Source organism: Homo sapiens, chromosome 10 (genome assembly GCF_000001405.40).
Source record: "Homo sapiens chromosome 10, GRCh38.p14 Primary Assembly".
Lineage (NCBI taxonomy): Eukaryota > Metazoa > Chordata > Mammalia > Primates > Hominidae > Homo > Homo sapiens.
Window position 1 is genome coordinate 114463972 of NC_000010.11, and position 17137 is coordinate 114481108.

General features: G+C 42.4%; 1 protein-coding gene across 56 annotated transcripts in view; it reads right to left on the minus strand.

Moving 5' to 3' along the window:
- Positions 1-17137, minus strand: part of ABLIM1 (actin binding LIM protein 1) — a 370264-nt gene that overhangs the window by 32862 nt on the left and 320265 nt on the right. For 53 of the 56 annotated variants that reach the window (XM_047425242.1, XM_047425238.1, XM_047425237.1 and 50 more), the window contains 4 exon segments: positions 9908-9985; positions 9006-9161; positions 4210-4245; positions 1727-1856 (listed from right to left, as the gene is read on the minus strand). In XM_047425242.1, the coding sequence (XP_047281198.1) occupies positions 1727-1856; positions 4210-4245; positions 9006-9161; positions 9908-9985 (400 nt within the window). 56 annotated transcript variants of the gene reach the window in all.

Below are 17137 nucleotides of genomic sequence, written 5' to 3' on the forward strand. Positions count from 1 at the left end.
ATTGGCATCAGAACCATAATTGGAACAGATGGAAACTTTCTCAGTAAGGACATGAGCTTTTGGGGGAAGGAGTGTTGACTGACCACTCCCCTCACTGTTCAGGGGTCTTTGGAACAACAATGCCCCTATAACCCCACGCCGCTCCGGCAACTCCATGGCTGGGGTCTCAGTGACCTCAGCATATGTACATGAGCAGGGTGGCAGCATAAAGGATTTTTTTTTTTTTTTTTTTGAGATGGAGTCTTGCTCTGTCATCCAGGTTGGAGTGCAATGGCGCCATCTTGGCTCACTGCAACCTTTGCCTCCCAGGTTCCAGCAATTCTCCTGTCTCAGCCTCCCAAGTAGCTGGGACTACAGGCGCATGCCACCATGCCCAGCTAATTTTTGTATTTTTAGTAGAGACAGGGTTTCACCATATTGGTCAGGCTGGTCTTGAACTCTTGACCTCAGGTGATCCACCTGCCTCAGCCTCCTAAAGTGCTGGGATTACAGGCATGAGCCACCACGCCTGGCCCAGCATAAAGGATTTCTTATTACCCAAATGGACAAAGGCTTAAATCGGGACTCACGTCCTGGGCATGAATAAAATGAATATAATAGCCCATGAAATAAAGGAAAAAAAATTCCTGAGAACTTTCATTTAATGTAATTCAATAAATAGCACAAACATTTATCAGTGTAGAGAAAATTATACATTATCAAAGGATCAAATAGTTTGAATTCTCTACGATCATTAAATCTAGGGTCTTAGAAGATTGCAGCTTTTTATCATCCTGTTAATTCTTTTGGTTTCATTTCTTGTACAATTTATTTTTAAAAAGGTAGCATATGGGTTTGCTCTCATCTATGCGTCCAGAAGCAAGAAGCTTAACATGAAGTCTTCACAGACGCGCACTGTCACCATTAAGTTTTATTAGAGGCCAGAATCTTCCTTGTGAATCCATTTCTCAGGGAATCTTGGATCTGTACTGGGATCTCCATTCTTCTCCCACTACACACAGGAGACACCCACTAGTAGCTACAGAGACTAAATTCTCTGCAGATGAAGGTCCACTAAAATCTGCTACTTTGTGGCATTCTCTACTGTAGTGATGCCTAATAATTGTATGTTTTCCAAGTCTGATTGAAAATCTTAGGGTTGGAAATGATTTTGTTTTCCAAGTCTGAGGGAAAATCTTAGGGTTGGAAATGATTTTATGTTTCCTAAGAATGACTGAAAATCTTAGGGTTGGAACGATCTTAAAAGTGATCAAGAACAGCCCTGAGTCCTCTTTCTAGAAAGTGCTTAACCAAGCATGCTTACTAACACCTAGATAAGGGAAACATAATCCAGCTGTTAAAAATGGCTAATACTGAATTTTAGATGATGTTGGTATGCCTAAAAAGCACATCAAAATATTTTCTTTGGGAGATCTCCATTTTAAGTCTCAAAGTGAAGAGATTTTTGTTAATCGTAAAAAAATTTTTAAAAAAACCCCTTGCTTCCAGTAGCTCGCTGTCAAAATATAATTATTTAATAAATCAAAATGAACACAGGCTTAGGATGACTGATGTTTCAAGAAAAGATAGAGCATAAAATATAGTTGGATACCAGTTTTCATTTTGCTCTGGGAGAGGGATGGAAATGTTTAGTCGTTGATTTTTCAATGTGCTATCAATAGTAGGGGAAAAAATCACAGAAACATAGTTTGTTATATAGAGTGAATCCAGGAACAGTCACCCTTACCAGGTCTGTGGAAATGCTGGGGAGAGCGGGACGTGGTTGGAGTGTAGCTGTGGCGGCTGTACACAGGGGAGTTGATGGAGCCCTGGCTCGTGGACCGATGGATCATCCGATCCCGAACATCCTGGTACCCCTGGAAACAAAGTTCAACACATTCAGGCTATCACCATGCCTCAGTAGGAACCACGCTTCACAAACACTGCCAAGGAACCATCATGTCTACTTGTTTATATATATTTGATTAATATATGCACTTATTTTTATGTGCAAATTTTGCAGGTATTTTATATGCAAATAAGCATTCTGTGGCTAATATATTTTGTTCAAAGTCTGCAGTACTTGGGCTTATTACAAAATTTTAAGAGCCAGGTGTGGTGGCTCACACCTGTGATCTCAGCACTTTGGGGGGCCAAGGTGGGAGGATGGCTTGAAGCCAGGAGTTCGAGAACAGCCTGGGCAACACAACGAGACCTTGTCTTTACAAAAAACTGTAAAAAATTAGCCAGGGATGATGGCACATGCCTGCAGTCCCAGCTACTCAGGAGTTCGAGGCTGCAGTAAACTATGATTGTGCCAGTGCACTCCAGCCTGGACGACAGAGTGAGACACTGTTTCTTTAAAAAAAAAAAATTTTAAGGATGAAAACATATAAACCTTAATAGAGATAGGGCTATGGGACAAGAGATAATAATTCCAATGACCATGCTGACATTGTACTTTTCCGTTTCATAAGTATGTTCACATACCTACCAGATCTGCATAACAAGAAAAGGTAGGTCACATACTATCACCTCCCTCCCCCACTAATGTAGAAACATGGTTCCAAGCTGGTAAGAGCCCTGTGTGTAGGCATGTAGTTGGTATGGGCAGAGCCTGCTTCGGAACCAGACTCCTGACTCTAATCTCTTCCTTCGTTCTGACCACCAACCAAACTGTACTGTCTACGACATTGATCTGGTGGCATTTTAAATAAATTCTCCTGAATAACAAGTTGATGGTTGCCATAAAGCCGGTATTTTACTTCTCACTTTGGGAAACATATCCCAAGAAAATAATTTAAAATGCCCTTTAAAAGGAGGAATAATTTATTCAAATACTTTCATAGTACTACTATTCATAAAGGCAAAAATTTGCGTTACATGTTCAACAAATTGGGGCACAATTAAGAAATTATGACATACGGGCCAGGCACAGTGGCTCATGCCTGTAATTTCAGCACTCTGGGAGGCCAAGGTGGGTGGATCACCTGAGGTCAGGAGTTTGCGACCAGCCTGCCCAACATGGTGAAACCCTGTCTCTACTAAACATACATAAATTAGCTGAGCATGGTGGTGTGCACCTGTAATCCCAGCTACTTGGGAGGCTGAGACAGGAGAATCACTAGAACCCAGGAGGCAGAGGTTGCAGTGAGCCAAGATTGTGCCACTACACCCCAGCCTGGGCAACAGAGTGAGACTCTGTCTCAAAAAAAAAGGAAATTATGACATGCGAATTCAATGGAATATCATAGCACCACTAAAATGTCACCTATCTCCAAATCTAGAAAAGGATATATTAGGTAATAAGTACAAAAAACCACATGCACACACACAATATAAAACTGTCTAAAGAGTTGAAAGAGTACAAAGAATATTTTACATTTTAGGAATCTGTTGTCCTATGAAATTTCTACTAGCACAATAAAAGTAAAAAGTTTGAAAGAATGCATTAATAACGACTAAATGAACACCTCAGTAACCATAGCTTTGTGGAATTTGAGAGCAAATGGCAAGGGGAAACTTTGGCTTGATACTAGTTGTCTATAACAATAAATTAAATAAAACAACAACAAAACAAAAAGTCCCCAGATTATGTGCTTCAAGCTTGCACAGTTGGTCAATAGAAATTAATTCTTCATAAATTCAATGCAAATTATTAGAATATAGGTAGAAATTAATAATTCATAGCAGTCATAAACCATGAAAATATTATGGTATTTTTACTACTTTGAATTACAGAGATTCCCTAAAAGTAGTCCAGTTTCATAATATCCAGAAAGTTGCTTGGTTTTAGGATCAGATGATTGATTTCAGACTAAACAGAGTAACCTCCCATCAAGATGGCTCTGCTTATAGAATACGCCATGATGGCTGTTGGCCATTTCAGTATATTAGGGTTCAGAAAAATTAATTATAGATGCGGACAAAGAGCCCCACATTGGGACAAGTGACTTATGTTCCTGCAGACACTTTGCTTCCACTTACAGGCACAGACACAGATTAAAGTGAGGCCATTTTTACTCCCTGGTCTCCAATTTAAGAGAAATATATTGCTGTGTCTTAGAGTCTCCTCTTTCACGGAGGTAATCCCCAAAGCCACCATAACCCCACATGCAGTTTTTCTGTTCTTTTGTATGTTATGTTCTTTTTCAAAAATCCCAGTCTAGGGAAGGGCCAAGCAATTCTCAAATTCCACCCATTAAAATGATAAAAAGAAATGGTACTTACTTCTGCTGATGGAGTAGGAGACAAAGTCCTCGGAGACTAGAAAAATAAAAGAGAATTTAAAGTCACAATGTTTGTTAACTCTTTGCCGTTTTGTTTGTTTGTTTGTTTGTTTGAGATGGAGTCTCGCTCTGTCGCCCAGGCTGGAGTGCAGTGGCGCAATCTCGGTTTACTGCAATCTCCGCCTCCCAGGTTCAAGCGATTCTCCTGCCTCAGCCTCCCAAGTAGCTGGGACTACAGGCGCCGCCACCACCCCCAGCTACTTTTTTTGTATTTTTAGTAGAGATGGGGTTTCACTGCGTTAGTCAGGATGGTCTCTATCTTCTGACCTCATGATCCGCCCCCCTTAGCCTCCCAAAGTTTTGGGATTACAGGCGTGAGCCACCGCGCCTGGCCTCTTTGCCAGTTTTAATTAGAGTTGTTTATCAGAGTCAGCTGTAAATATTAGCCAACATGTACCTGCCAGCATCCCTCCACATCTCCCTGTCTTCTGATCAGGTACAAATGCATCTGCCATGGGGCTCAGACAGGTAGACTCTGACAAAGTTCCGGGGAGATTCTGGTGCACATCTCTGCCTAAGAACCATGAATAGGCCGGGTGCGGTGGCTCACGTCTGTAATCCCAGCACTTTGGGAGGCTGAGGCTGGCGGACCACAAGGTCAGGAGATCGAGACCATCCTGGCTAACATGGTGAAACCCCGTCTCTACTAAAAACTACAAAAAATTAGCCAGGCGCGGTGGCGGGCGCCTGTAGTCCCAGCTACTTGGGAGGCTGAGGCAGGAGAATGGCGTGAACCCGGAAGGCGAAGCTTGCAGTGAGCCGAGATCACGCCACTGCACTCCAGCCTGGGAGACAGAGCGAGACTCTGTCTCAAAAAAAAAAAAAAAAAAAAAAGAACCATGACTAGATATGATTGTGATACATACTTAGGTGATTAAGCTAGACAAGTTGGAACCATTTCCCTTATATATTCAAACTACGCTCATTTTACTATGATGAGTTACAGCATCTACTGAAACATAGGATCTTGTTCACATGGTTGTTGACTAAATTACAACCACAGCAATCACCATAAAATAGTTTGATAACTAAAATAGGACTTTGGTGACCAGGCATGGGGCATCCTGCCTTGGCTGCATCGCCAATCTCACTATCATTCACCTCGCCAATCTCACTATCATTCACCTCTGGCTTCCATCCTCCTAGGCACACAGGCTTCCTTGGGGCCATCAACAGGCCAAGCTTTCTGTCACCTCAGGGCCTTTGCACTTGCTGTCTCTTCTGCTGCCAGTGCTTTTCACCCAGACACCTGCAGGGCTCATTCCCTGTCAGCGCTGATGTCTCTGCTCAAACCCACTGTCACACAGCATCTCCGTGACCATTCTGTCCAGAGGAGCAACCCAGCCCCTGGTACGCTTTCTCTTTACTCTGCTTCATTTCTCCTCAGAGCCCTACCACTCTGTAAAATTATATTACATATCTGTTTCTTTACTGTCTGTCTCCCACGTGATGCCACAAGCTCCATGAGGGCAAGGACTGTTTGTTTACAACTACATATTCCCAGTGATGACAGCAGCTCCTGGGACACAGTAGTTGCTCAAGTATTTTCCAGATGAATAAAATGTTTACAATTAAAATGCAAAAAGCTTTCAAATAGAAATGAAATTCAAACAGAGCTATGGAGAACACAGCCAGGGGTGGACTTCTCAGTTTTAGAATTTGCCCTTTTCCCCACATTCTATAGTAAGTGGGCGGACTGTCTGTATTCTAAGCCTTCACAAGCTCCAGGGTCTCCTCTGCAGCTACAGCCTGTCTCTAGGGGGTCTCAGCTGGGTGAAGGCTGGTCTCAAGGTCAGGGCCCAGGTCTGCACCTGCACTGACAGCAAGGCCCTGGAGGCACCAATGGCTGCACAGAACTAATCTGACTCTTGCAGTGTTTCTTAAATGGCAATATGTATAAAGGCCAGGTGCGGTGGCTCACACCTGTAATCCCAGCACCTTGTGAGGCCAAGGCGGGTGGATCACTTGAGGTCAGGAGTTCACGACCAGCCTGGCCAACATGGAGAAACCCCAACTCTACTGAAAATACAAAAATTAGCCCAGCATGGTGGCACATGCCCGTAGTCTCAGCTACTTGGGAAGCTGAGGCAGCAGAACTGCTTGAACCTGGGAGGCAGAGGTTGCAGTGAGCCAAGATTGCACCACTACACTCCAGCTGGGTGACAGAGTGAGACTCCACCTCAAAAAAAAAAAAAAAAAAAAAAGGCAATATGTATATGAGGTCTATAAAAGAAGTGTGTTAAACTTTAATGGAATAAATAATAGAACAGCTTGTAAATTTCTCTCAGTTGCAAGATGCAAGTATTGGGAAAGAGTTCACTAATATATCTGATTTCTGATCCCAGGGGCACCCTCTATGCATAGAGAAAACCATGGGACATAATTCCAGGTTATGACAGTAAGTATGCTGATTACGAGAGTAGCCAGCATTTTTCTTAAGCACTTATTATGTGCCCAGTACTGTTCTAATGTAAATAGCTCACTTACTCTTTACAGAAAACTTCTAGCATAGGTATTCTTGTTCTCTATCTTGAGTTTGCAGATAAGGAGATTGAGGTATATAATTTCCCCAAAGTTATGTGGTTAGTCAGCATCGGTCTGGTTTTTCTTTTTTTCTTTTTTTGTGGTGGTGGTTTTTGTTTTGTTTGCTTTGTTTTGTTTTTGAGACAGGGTGTCACTCTATCACCCAGGCCGGAGTACAATGGCATGATCATGGCTCAATGCAGCCTCAACCTCCTGGGCTCAAGTGATCCTCCCATCTCAGCCTCCCAAGTTGCTGGGACTACAGGCGTGTGCCATCATTCCTGGCTAATTTTTGTATTTTTTTTCTGTAGAGATGGAATTTTGGTATGTTGTCCAGGCTGGTCTCAAACTCTTGGTCTCAAGCAATCCACCCACCTTGGCCTTGGCCTCCTAAAGTGCTGGTATTACGGACATGAGTCACCATGTCTGGCAGAGTCTGGTTTTAAATGCAGAGATTTTCACCTCAAAGCCCAAACTCTTGAGTGCTTAATGTTTTACTGCCTTGATGGAGCTGCTGGGAAACGCACACAGACACGTACACTGCACACCATGAACCCCAAATCCTTAACACCATTAAAAAAACTCACATCCCCTTGCTTGTATGGGTTAAACATTAGTAAATTCTCATCCACAGGGTCCAAGGCCAATCTCTATGCACTTTGTTCAGGAACTTCCCCTCGCCTCTTATGCCCTACGAAACTCTGTGGGGTTCAATGGCAACTGACAACCCGGGCCAATGCACCTGCGCTTGAGAGCGGCCGCAAGTGCAGCTACAGCTAAGTGACCACTAGGTGGCACTACATGAAAATGGATATCACTTCCTGCCACAGGGACCTTTTCCACGCAGAGCTATGCTCTGGAATAAAACCCAGATTAGAAAGTAAATAAATAAAAGGAACAATATATATAAAATAAAAAATAAACATAAATATAATTATCAAATAATATTATACATCTGGAATTGAGAACAATTAAACAGAATCACATTTTCATGCCTTTTCTTCTCCAAGACCTCAAAGCACTGTGAGATGCTAGATTGTTTATATTCTGTTTTAACCTTTGTTGAATAGCTGATTTGTCAGCTATTTGTTAACATCTTTGTGGACTAAAATCAGTCTACAGATGATTCTAATTCAAAAAATAAAAGAGAAAAAAATGAGAGTGAGCCGATTGGCCAGGGGAAACGGACTTGGGTAGGAAGCGACCACAGAGAACCTTCAACCCTGAGATGGGACCGGGGAGGGGAGGACCCCAAGGGGCTGAGAGGCTCTGGTCCCGCAGCAGATGGGTCTGCAGGCCGAGTATTAACGAGCCCCAAGAGGACAGGTAGCAACAATGGTAGAAATTGCCACATGCTCAGTATTTCCCCCAAGTCTGGCCTCTGATAATTGCTTTACATAGATTAGCTTGCTTAATCCTCACTAACACCCTATGAGGTAGATTCTATCATCACCCTATCTGTTTTACAGATGAAGAAACTAGGACCATTTTTCTTATTTTTTTAATATATATAGATGAGGTCTCAACTATGTTGTCCAGGGTGGTCTTCAACTCCTGGCCTGAAGCAATCCTCCGGCCCTCAGCCTCCCAAAATGTTGGGATTACAGGTATGAGCACTGTACCTGGTCCAGGAAACTAGCAGCAGAATGGCTGTCACATGGTCAAAGTCAAACAATCGGCATGTGGTGATCCCTGGGTTGAGACCAGGTAATTTGATTCCAGAATGCTGGCTCACACTCCTGTGCTAGACTGTTGCCCCATGCGCTCTACTTTATTTTTTCTTTCACATGCTAACTTTCTTAAGTTGCTGAAAACTGTAATTACCAAAATTTAGGGGGTGTGTTCTCTCTCCTCATGATGCCATGAATATACTTAAAGCTTATCACTAGACTAAGACCCCCAGGAGACCCTCACTCCCTTATTTGCTCTGCCCAGCTCACACAATCCCCACCCCCTCCCCACCTCCCGACAGCTTCCATCCCAGCATGCTAATGTTTAGCTGGTCTTCACTGTTGTTTGATGTGCCATTGTTCTGTTCTCCCACTTCTCATGATGGGCTTCTGAATACCTCAAAGCACCTGGTCTAGAAATCTGCAAATACTAGGCAGACAAAAGACCACCTGATTTACCTGAACTCCAAATGGTAGTTATTACAAATGTGACAAAAGGGAAGGTAAATTGTTGTACAACTCACAACCAGTAGGAATGTATTACCTCTCCAAGGCTCTGTCTCTCCTGTTTGTCATCATAGCCCGAAGTGTAGAAAGGCTCATAGGTAATAAGATCTGGACGTTCAATGTCATAAATTGCCTTGACCTTCGGAATGGCTGCTAAATCCTTGTAATCCAGGATCTCATTGTCTACTTTTGCCTGGCAAAGTTAACCAGAAAGAACAATTACCTTGTAGTCTGACTGCTTTAGGAAACTGTAGTTGGCGCATTTCCTGTTGTTTAAAAAGTGAAGGCCTTAAAATAAACAAAAACCAAAACATCTTGCCTAACACAGTTATACTCTTCAGAAGTTGCCCTTTATACCATATATTAATCATGTTTTTTTAAAAAAGTCACTGAACGCTTAGGAAAAAATCTGTGTAGAATTCATGAAATAGATAAATGTGCAAACCTTAAGGATAATTTCCTGAATTTATGATAGTAAAGGAAAAAGCTCAAACAGATGGTCCAATAATCCTCTCAGATGGCTAAAAACAAGAACTGCATAATTAATAAACTAAATATTTAAATATCTTTGTGGTAGAATTTAGGAACACTCAGTATCAGCTTCATAAAATATATATTTAATCCCCAAATATCTATATGCAATTTAGGTGCAAGAATTTTTTTTTTTGAGACGGAGTCTTAGGTGCAAGAATTTTTTAAGTCCCGCAACATATTACTACATTTTACAGGTCGTCTGATCACTCTGTTGATGGTCACATAAATGTAATTACCTAAAGGTAAAAGTGATTGAGGAGACTGTTCTACAAAAATGAAAATCAGGTCTCATAACAAAAATAGAAATCACTTTGAATCAGTTTTTGTTTTGGATTACCCATTCTGCTATTACAATCCACTAATTTACCTGTCCCAGAAATGTCACTTCCAGAAGTAGATACTTACATAGATAGTATGACCTGGTGAGCCAGGAATACTGGAGCCTGGCCTAGAATAAATACTTTCCGAGGATGTCCTGGTAGGCTGTAAAATAAACAGTGACTTGTAAGACTTCGGACCCTGGCTTCAGAATCTAGACTGTCCTGGGCCCTTAAGCTTTACTAAAAACTCAGCTAGTGAAAAAAAGAAACACTTATCACCTTTTTGAATAAGGTAAAATACAACCTAGAAGGAAAGGTAAATGCAAACTAGTTGTACGATCCAGTTTTGAAAAGGCATGGGGAGGCCTTTCTCTGGCCCTTCCTGCTCCTTGTCCCCTACGAGAATTTCTGGTTTACCTTTGAGCACACCTCAAAGCTTCCCATTTCTCTCCCTCTCTACTGCCGTAGTCCCAGCCCCAGTCACCACCTCCATTCATCCAGATTATTGCAATGGCCTCCCTGTGAGTTTTCTGCCTTCTCCCCTCCCTTCTTCAAATCAAATCCACCTGGCAGGCAATGGATAGAGAGACCTTTTTTTTTTTTTTGAGACGGAGTCTCACTCTGTCGCCCAGGCTGGAGTGCAGTGGTGCGATCTTGGCTCACTGCAAGCTCCGCCTCCCAGGTTCACACTTTTCTCCTGCCTCAGCCTCCCGAGTAGCTAGAACTACAGGCACCTGCCACCATGCCCGGCTAATTTTTTGTATTTTTAGTAGAGACAGGGTTTCACCGTGTTAGCCAGGATGGTCTTGATCTCCTGACCTCGTGATCTGCCCGCCTCCACCTCCCCAAGTGCTGGGATTACAGGCGTGAGCCACCGCACTCAGCCGAGAGACCTTTCAAGAACATAATTTGGATGGTCACTACTCTGCTTTTGTCTCCAGCATTGATATAGTTTGGCTGTGTCTCCACCCACGTTTCACCTTGAATTGTAATAATCCCCACGTGTCAAGGATAGGTCCAGGTGGAGATAATTGAATCATGGGGCAGTTTCCCCCATACTATTCTTGTGATAGTGAATAAGTCTCACGAGACTGATGATTTTATAAATGGGAGTTTCCCTGCACAAGCTCTCTTGCCTGCCACCACGTAAGACATGACTTTGTTTCTTATTTGCCTTCTGCCATGATTGTGAGGCCTCCCCAGCCATGTGGAACTGGAGTCCATTAAGCCACTTTCCTTTATAAATTACCCAGTCTTGGGTATATGTCTACTAGCGGCATGAGAACAGACCTAACAGAAGCATCCATTCAGAATAAAATCACAACAACCAGGGCCTCAGGATTCTATCCCTGCCTTCCCCTCCTACCTCGTCTCTCACCTGTCATCACTCACAGAACACAGCGCACAAAGCTGCCTCGGAGTTCTCATCCTCGCTTACTGCTCCCTCTGCCTGAAATGCCCTAGCTCCCAATTTTACTTGGATGATTCTCTTCCTTCAGTCTTGGCTTAAATATCACCTCCTCAGAGAGGACCTCCCTGATTCAATCCAGAGTTGGTTCCCCATGTTGTTTTCTCTCATAGTGTCATTCTTTTTTCCTTCATGAGTAAAATGTGTAATTATATATTTATTGTTTTCCTTGCATCGTGTCTGTCTCCCTCATTAACTTTAGTCATGCTCTCTGCCCTCATAGAGTTTATTTTTTAACCACTGTCTATACCCAATGCTTTCCACAGGTACACAGAAGGCACAAATCCTAGTTGAGGGAATGAGCTAGAATTTATTACTTGTAAACAAATACTTAGTTTGCAGACACTTGACTTATGTTAATTACACGATTTGAGCCTAACTATATAGAGAGTCACTGAGGTAAGGCTGGTGGGTCGGCCTTTGGGAAGGATGAAAGAAACTGGACTTCATAGTATATACCTGAAGAACGTGGAGAGTGAGAGGTGGTTATGTGAGCAGGAAGGAAACTTATGAACTAGGATCAGCTGCCTCCTGCTTCTGTTTAACATATTCTGGAAAGCTCTGCAGAGAAAACTCAAGGCCTCATTTTGGAACACTTCCTCCCCTCTGTTGCAGCCATTTCCTAAAGAGAGTAACTTATAGTTCTACAATAGGAATAAGACCTTGCCTTCTCAGTAGTTTCTATTGGTGTTTAATACCTTGAATGTGGGCACCACTGAGCCAAAGAAACTCCTTCAGACAAGGGTGTTGTCTCACTATGCTGTTCACAGTTGAAGCAATGAAGGCAAACATATCTGGCCAATTCAGGTCAGGCAGTGATTTGACTCATTGCTGGAAGACTGTGATCAGTCTTTTTCAGCCAATGCCCCTGGTATCTTTGAGATGCTAGGGTGGAAGTGGCTGGGAGAAATCACACCACACCCAGGTGGAGGTGCACCAGGTGCATCACTTCTGGGCCTCCTCCCCAGGACCTGCCGTGCACAAGCGCTTTCCTGCTAGAGTTATACCAATCACAGGCATATCTCAATATGAGAAAATTCTACCTCTGAGTATGTTGAAAAAGGAAAGACTCACATAACACTATTCAAGAAATGTGCAGGCTGGGCGCAGTGGCTCACACCTGTAATCCCAGCACTTTGGGAGGCCGAGGCGGGTGGATCACCTGAGGTCAGGAGTTTGAGACCAGCCTGGCCAACATGGTGAAACCCCATCTCTACTAAAAATACAATAAAATTAACTGGGTGTGGTGGCAGGCACCTGTAATCCCAGCTACTTGGGAGGCTGAGGTAGGAGAATCGCTTGAACTTGGGAGGCGGAGGGTGCAGTGAACCGAGATTGTGCCACTGCACTCCAGCCTGGGCAACAAGAGTGAAACTCTGCCTCAAAATAATAATAATAATAATAATAATAATAATAATAAAGTGCAATTTCTAGATCCATTTCCTAATCAAAATATAGAAGTGGCACAATCAAAATGTATTCCTCCTTTACAAGGAGATGCTACCCCCTGAAAAAGCTGAACCTGTATCCATCTCTGTGAGATAATTATTAACCACAGGTAGTCCTTCAGTTTCAAGTGGCCAGGATCTCACATTTTCCAAACTTAATGTCAAAATGAAACCTCTTAAGTAGCAACCCAAGAATATCGATGGCAACGAATGTCTACTGCCCACTTACTACGTGGAAGCCCTGTGCCAAGCACTTCCCAGGCTTAATCTCATGTAATCTTCTCGGTAACCCTAGGAGGTAGCTTCCATTATTATTCCTATTTTACAGATAAGGAAAAAGTATCAGTGCTCCAAGCCACACAGGTAGGAAAGGGATGAAGAGTCAGGATTTGAACTCAGACACTCTAGGTCCACAGCCCAAGCATTTAAGCCCTGCACTAAAATTTTGCTGTATTGCAGGGCAAATGTGATCATTTATTTCCTATCAACATAACTATGGGACAAATGGGGTGAAACTAAAAGAGAAATATTGAGATCAAGTAGCAGAAAAGAATGCTTGCTAACTGAAAATATTTTTGTTGCGCTAGCTCTGTAAGAACACTGCAATAGCTCACTGGGTTGGGGTGGGGAGAGGGTGTGCGGCAGGAGCATCAGATGTCTTCGGTTACTGGGGTTGCTATGACAAAGGCCTGTTTTCATTAACAAGCATCCAGGACATTGTGTGAACAGCCAAAGTGTACACTGGGGCTTTGGGGTCACTCGTATGTTACTCATCCTTATTTTTGCCAAGTGTGGGGCAAGGATACTTTCAGCCTTTGCTGTAATGATGCACCTGGGGATGGCTCTGAATGGTTTTATTTGCTCTTGTACTGCATGTACTGGTAGAAACAGAGCTGAAGAACAACGCACGCACATGTAGGGAAGGGTCTTTAACAGCACCTTCCAGGGATGAAGAGCTTCGTGGGCAGTAAAGGCAGTTCTCTTGGCAGAACTAGCCTATTTCACTTCAGTTTCTCTCTCCCTTCCTTCTCTGAGACAGAGTCTCACTCTGTCGCCCAGCCTGGAGTGCAGTGGCATGATCTTGGCTTCACTGCAACCTCTGCCTCCCAGGTTCAAGCGATTCTACTGCCTCAGCCTCCCAAGTAGCTGGGACTACGGGGACTTGCCACCCACCCAGCTAATTTTTGTATTTTTAGTAGAGATGGGGTTTCACCCCATTGGCCAGGATGGTCTTGAACTCCTGACCTCATGATTTGCCTGCCTCGGCCTCCCAAAGTGCTGGGATTACAGACGTGAGCCATAACGCCTGGCCTCTCCCTTCCTTCTTGACTGGATTAGGGGATCCTGTGAGTTATGCAGGCTTTCTTGGAAACATTTATCTTTTTTTATTTACACTATTAATACTGTTGAGCTAAAGATTTTAAAAGTTATTCAACAATTTGAATTTTTTCAAGACCCATTTGGTTTTTAAAAGTTTTCAGATCCAAATTACCTCCAATTTGAATACACTTACCCCCAAGTTCTCTGATTCAGAAATAAATATTTTAGGTTTTAATAGGCAGTTTTCAAAGTCAGGTGAACTGGTCATCAAATTTGCTGATGTTCTGGCTTGTCTTAGAGCCATCCCTCTGCTACTCGCATCTTCAAACTTTAGTGTTGAGAAATGCCCTGATGTATCTTGGAGATATGGTTTGGCTCTGTGCCCCCACCCAAATCTCATCTTGATTTGTAATATCCATGTGTCCAGGGAGAGAGGTGATTGGATTGTGGGGGTGGTTTTCCCCATGCTGTTCTCATGATAGTGAGAGAAGTCTCACGAGACCTGGTGGTTTTATAAATGGTAGTTTTTACTGCATTCACATGCTCTCTCTTTCCTGACACCATGTGAAGAAGGTCTTTGCTTCCCCTTTGCCTTCTGCCATGATTGTTAAGATTCCTGAGGCCTTCCCAGCCATGCAGAACTGTGGGTCAATTAAACCTCTTTTCTTTATAAATTACCCCGTCTTGGGCAGTTCTTTATAGCAGCGTGAAAATGGACTAATACACTTGGAGATTCGGAAACTGCTTTTTCTTTCACTGAATTTACCACTGTTTGTTTTTGCTTCATTCTGACCTCCTAAGTTTATGGTAAAATTTACTTCCATGGGCATCTTGTTTGCAGGTTGAGTTGCATTCTTGCTTGCTTATTTTCTTACAATGGCCCAATTCTGTTTACCTGTCTATATTGAAATAATGGGATAAAACACATCTATGTATTTTATGTAAGACAGTGTAATACAGTGGACTTAAAAGGCTGGCTTTGGTGCCAAATAACAGTTCAAACCTGGGCTCTACTAGTTGTTTGATGTTACATGAGTTTTTCTTTTTTCTTTTCCATTCTCTTTTTCTTTTAACTTCCTTGAGCTTCAACTTCTTCATGTACAGAACGCAGCAAGGTGTACCAGCATAACTATGTCACAGGGTTAAATGAGAGGATGCATATAAAGCTCCAAGCACCTTACTGGGCACATGGCAAGTAGTCAACATTTTCTAGACACTTGGGATTAGACTAGGTTTCTCAGGCAGTTAATCTCAAATAATGCCTCTGTTTTGCTCTTCATGAATATTCCTTTCATACGTGAGCTACACAGAACTGGGCTTCCCCAGCGTTCTCTACAGCTACCGCACTTGGACTCCTTCCCATCAGAACTCAGATATGTGAAGCAATTCATCACAGTATATGGGGCAGCAGTCCCGCCAGGAGCTGACAGATAGCCTTCCCCTCCTTGAGAACTCTGTGAAGTGATTCCAAATGCTCTTGGAGACAGTGACTGTGTCTCCACTTTGGTAATTAATGCCCTTCCCATGCCGATGACGATGACCTTGCACAGTCTGTCTTATCTGCCAGGACAGTTCCTGGTTTGTTGCCTACTGAACTGTGCTCAAGGCTTAAGTGACACACATGGATTGCCTGCTTTTTGCCACAGTCCCTAATGTCTCTCAGAGTGTATTTGCTCAACTGCGGGAGGTTAGAGGTCTCTCCCTTATGAAGGTCATAAAATTACTTTTTAAAAATTGAATGATTATTTTTGGACTTTTAATCCTAGATACTTAGAATTTTACATTTCAATTTGAAACATCTAGAATTCCAAACATGTTGAATTTCAAATTAACATCTTGTTTATTAAAAGAACCATTTTTATTCTTCCAGCTGTTATTTTTCTTTTCCTAATGAATCCATAATTTGCTGTTATGGCTAAGATATCTTCAAAAGGCTCAGAGCTGTTCTCCAACACATTAACATATATCCACTCAGACAGAAACCATCTCAATCTTGAAAGCACTTAACTTACTGACATGCTGTCCCACTTTCAAATCCCACTGACAGTTTCTTCTTTACCATTAACCCAACCCTATCATCACCTCTTTGGTCATCACAGAATTTTACAGGTGATCGTGACATGTAACTGATGATCCTTACCTGTAGTTATTTAATCTAAATTACCATTTCCACCCATTCAGATGTCCAGGGTAACAACAGTGACCCAATAATTATGAACTGAACTCAATAACCCAATGGGTCAGAAGCCTTGTTTCTGGAATTCTTTATGAGAGTTACAGTAAAAAAAAATTACTCTCTGGTCTATGTTATAAATGCATACAATTTCAAATATTTATCACCAAAGGTAAGCTCACTTCTACAGAATAAAGGAAACAGCAAGGACTTATGGCTAACATACTAAAAGCAGGTACAATTTATTTACTTTCATTTAAGCACCTTTTCCTTGCAGAAAAACCAACTCGAAAGTGCAGTTGGAGAAATTCAGTTCTTCCTTTTGATGCTATCTTTGGCATCTTCTGATGCCATCTTTGGCATGGAGGTGGGGTGAGGTGAGATGAAGAAAGCAGGCAAGGTAGATAGATACAGAATTATATATGGTAGTGATCGCTCAGAGTATTTTGCCAGTAAGATGAGGCAAGTAGGTGAAACCTTATTTTGGCAAAAGGAAGAAAGGAGCCTTCGGTAAGAACCTTCTTGTTGATATGGCTGTTCTCATTCAGTCTGTCATGATGAAGGGGTCCATTTACTCTATAGTTATCTCCCCAGCACACTTTCATGTCTTTACGTTTGATTTCAACAACGATTTTTACTTTCCACACACACACACACAAATAACAAAGAGATGCCTCATTAGAAGACTAGCAGTTCAACAGGAGAGATAAAACATGGCATTTAATTACAAATAAGTAGCCAAATGCTTTAAAAAGCACATCTTTTTGTTTTCTTCATGAAATCTCTTTGAAAAGCCCTCTAAATACCTTTCAGCTATTTTTCCCCTATGCCTTGATTTTGTCCATCTGTCCTACCATTCAGAAGGCACAGTCACAGAACAAAAATTAATTGAAGACATCCTCTTCC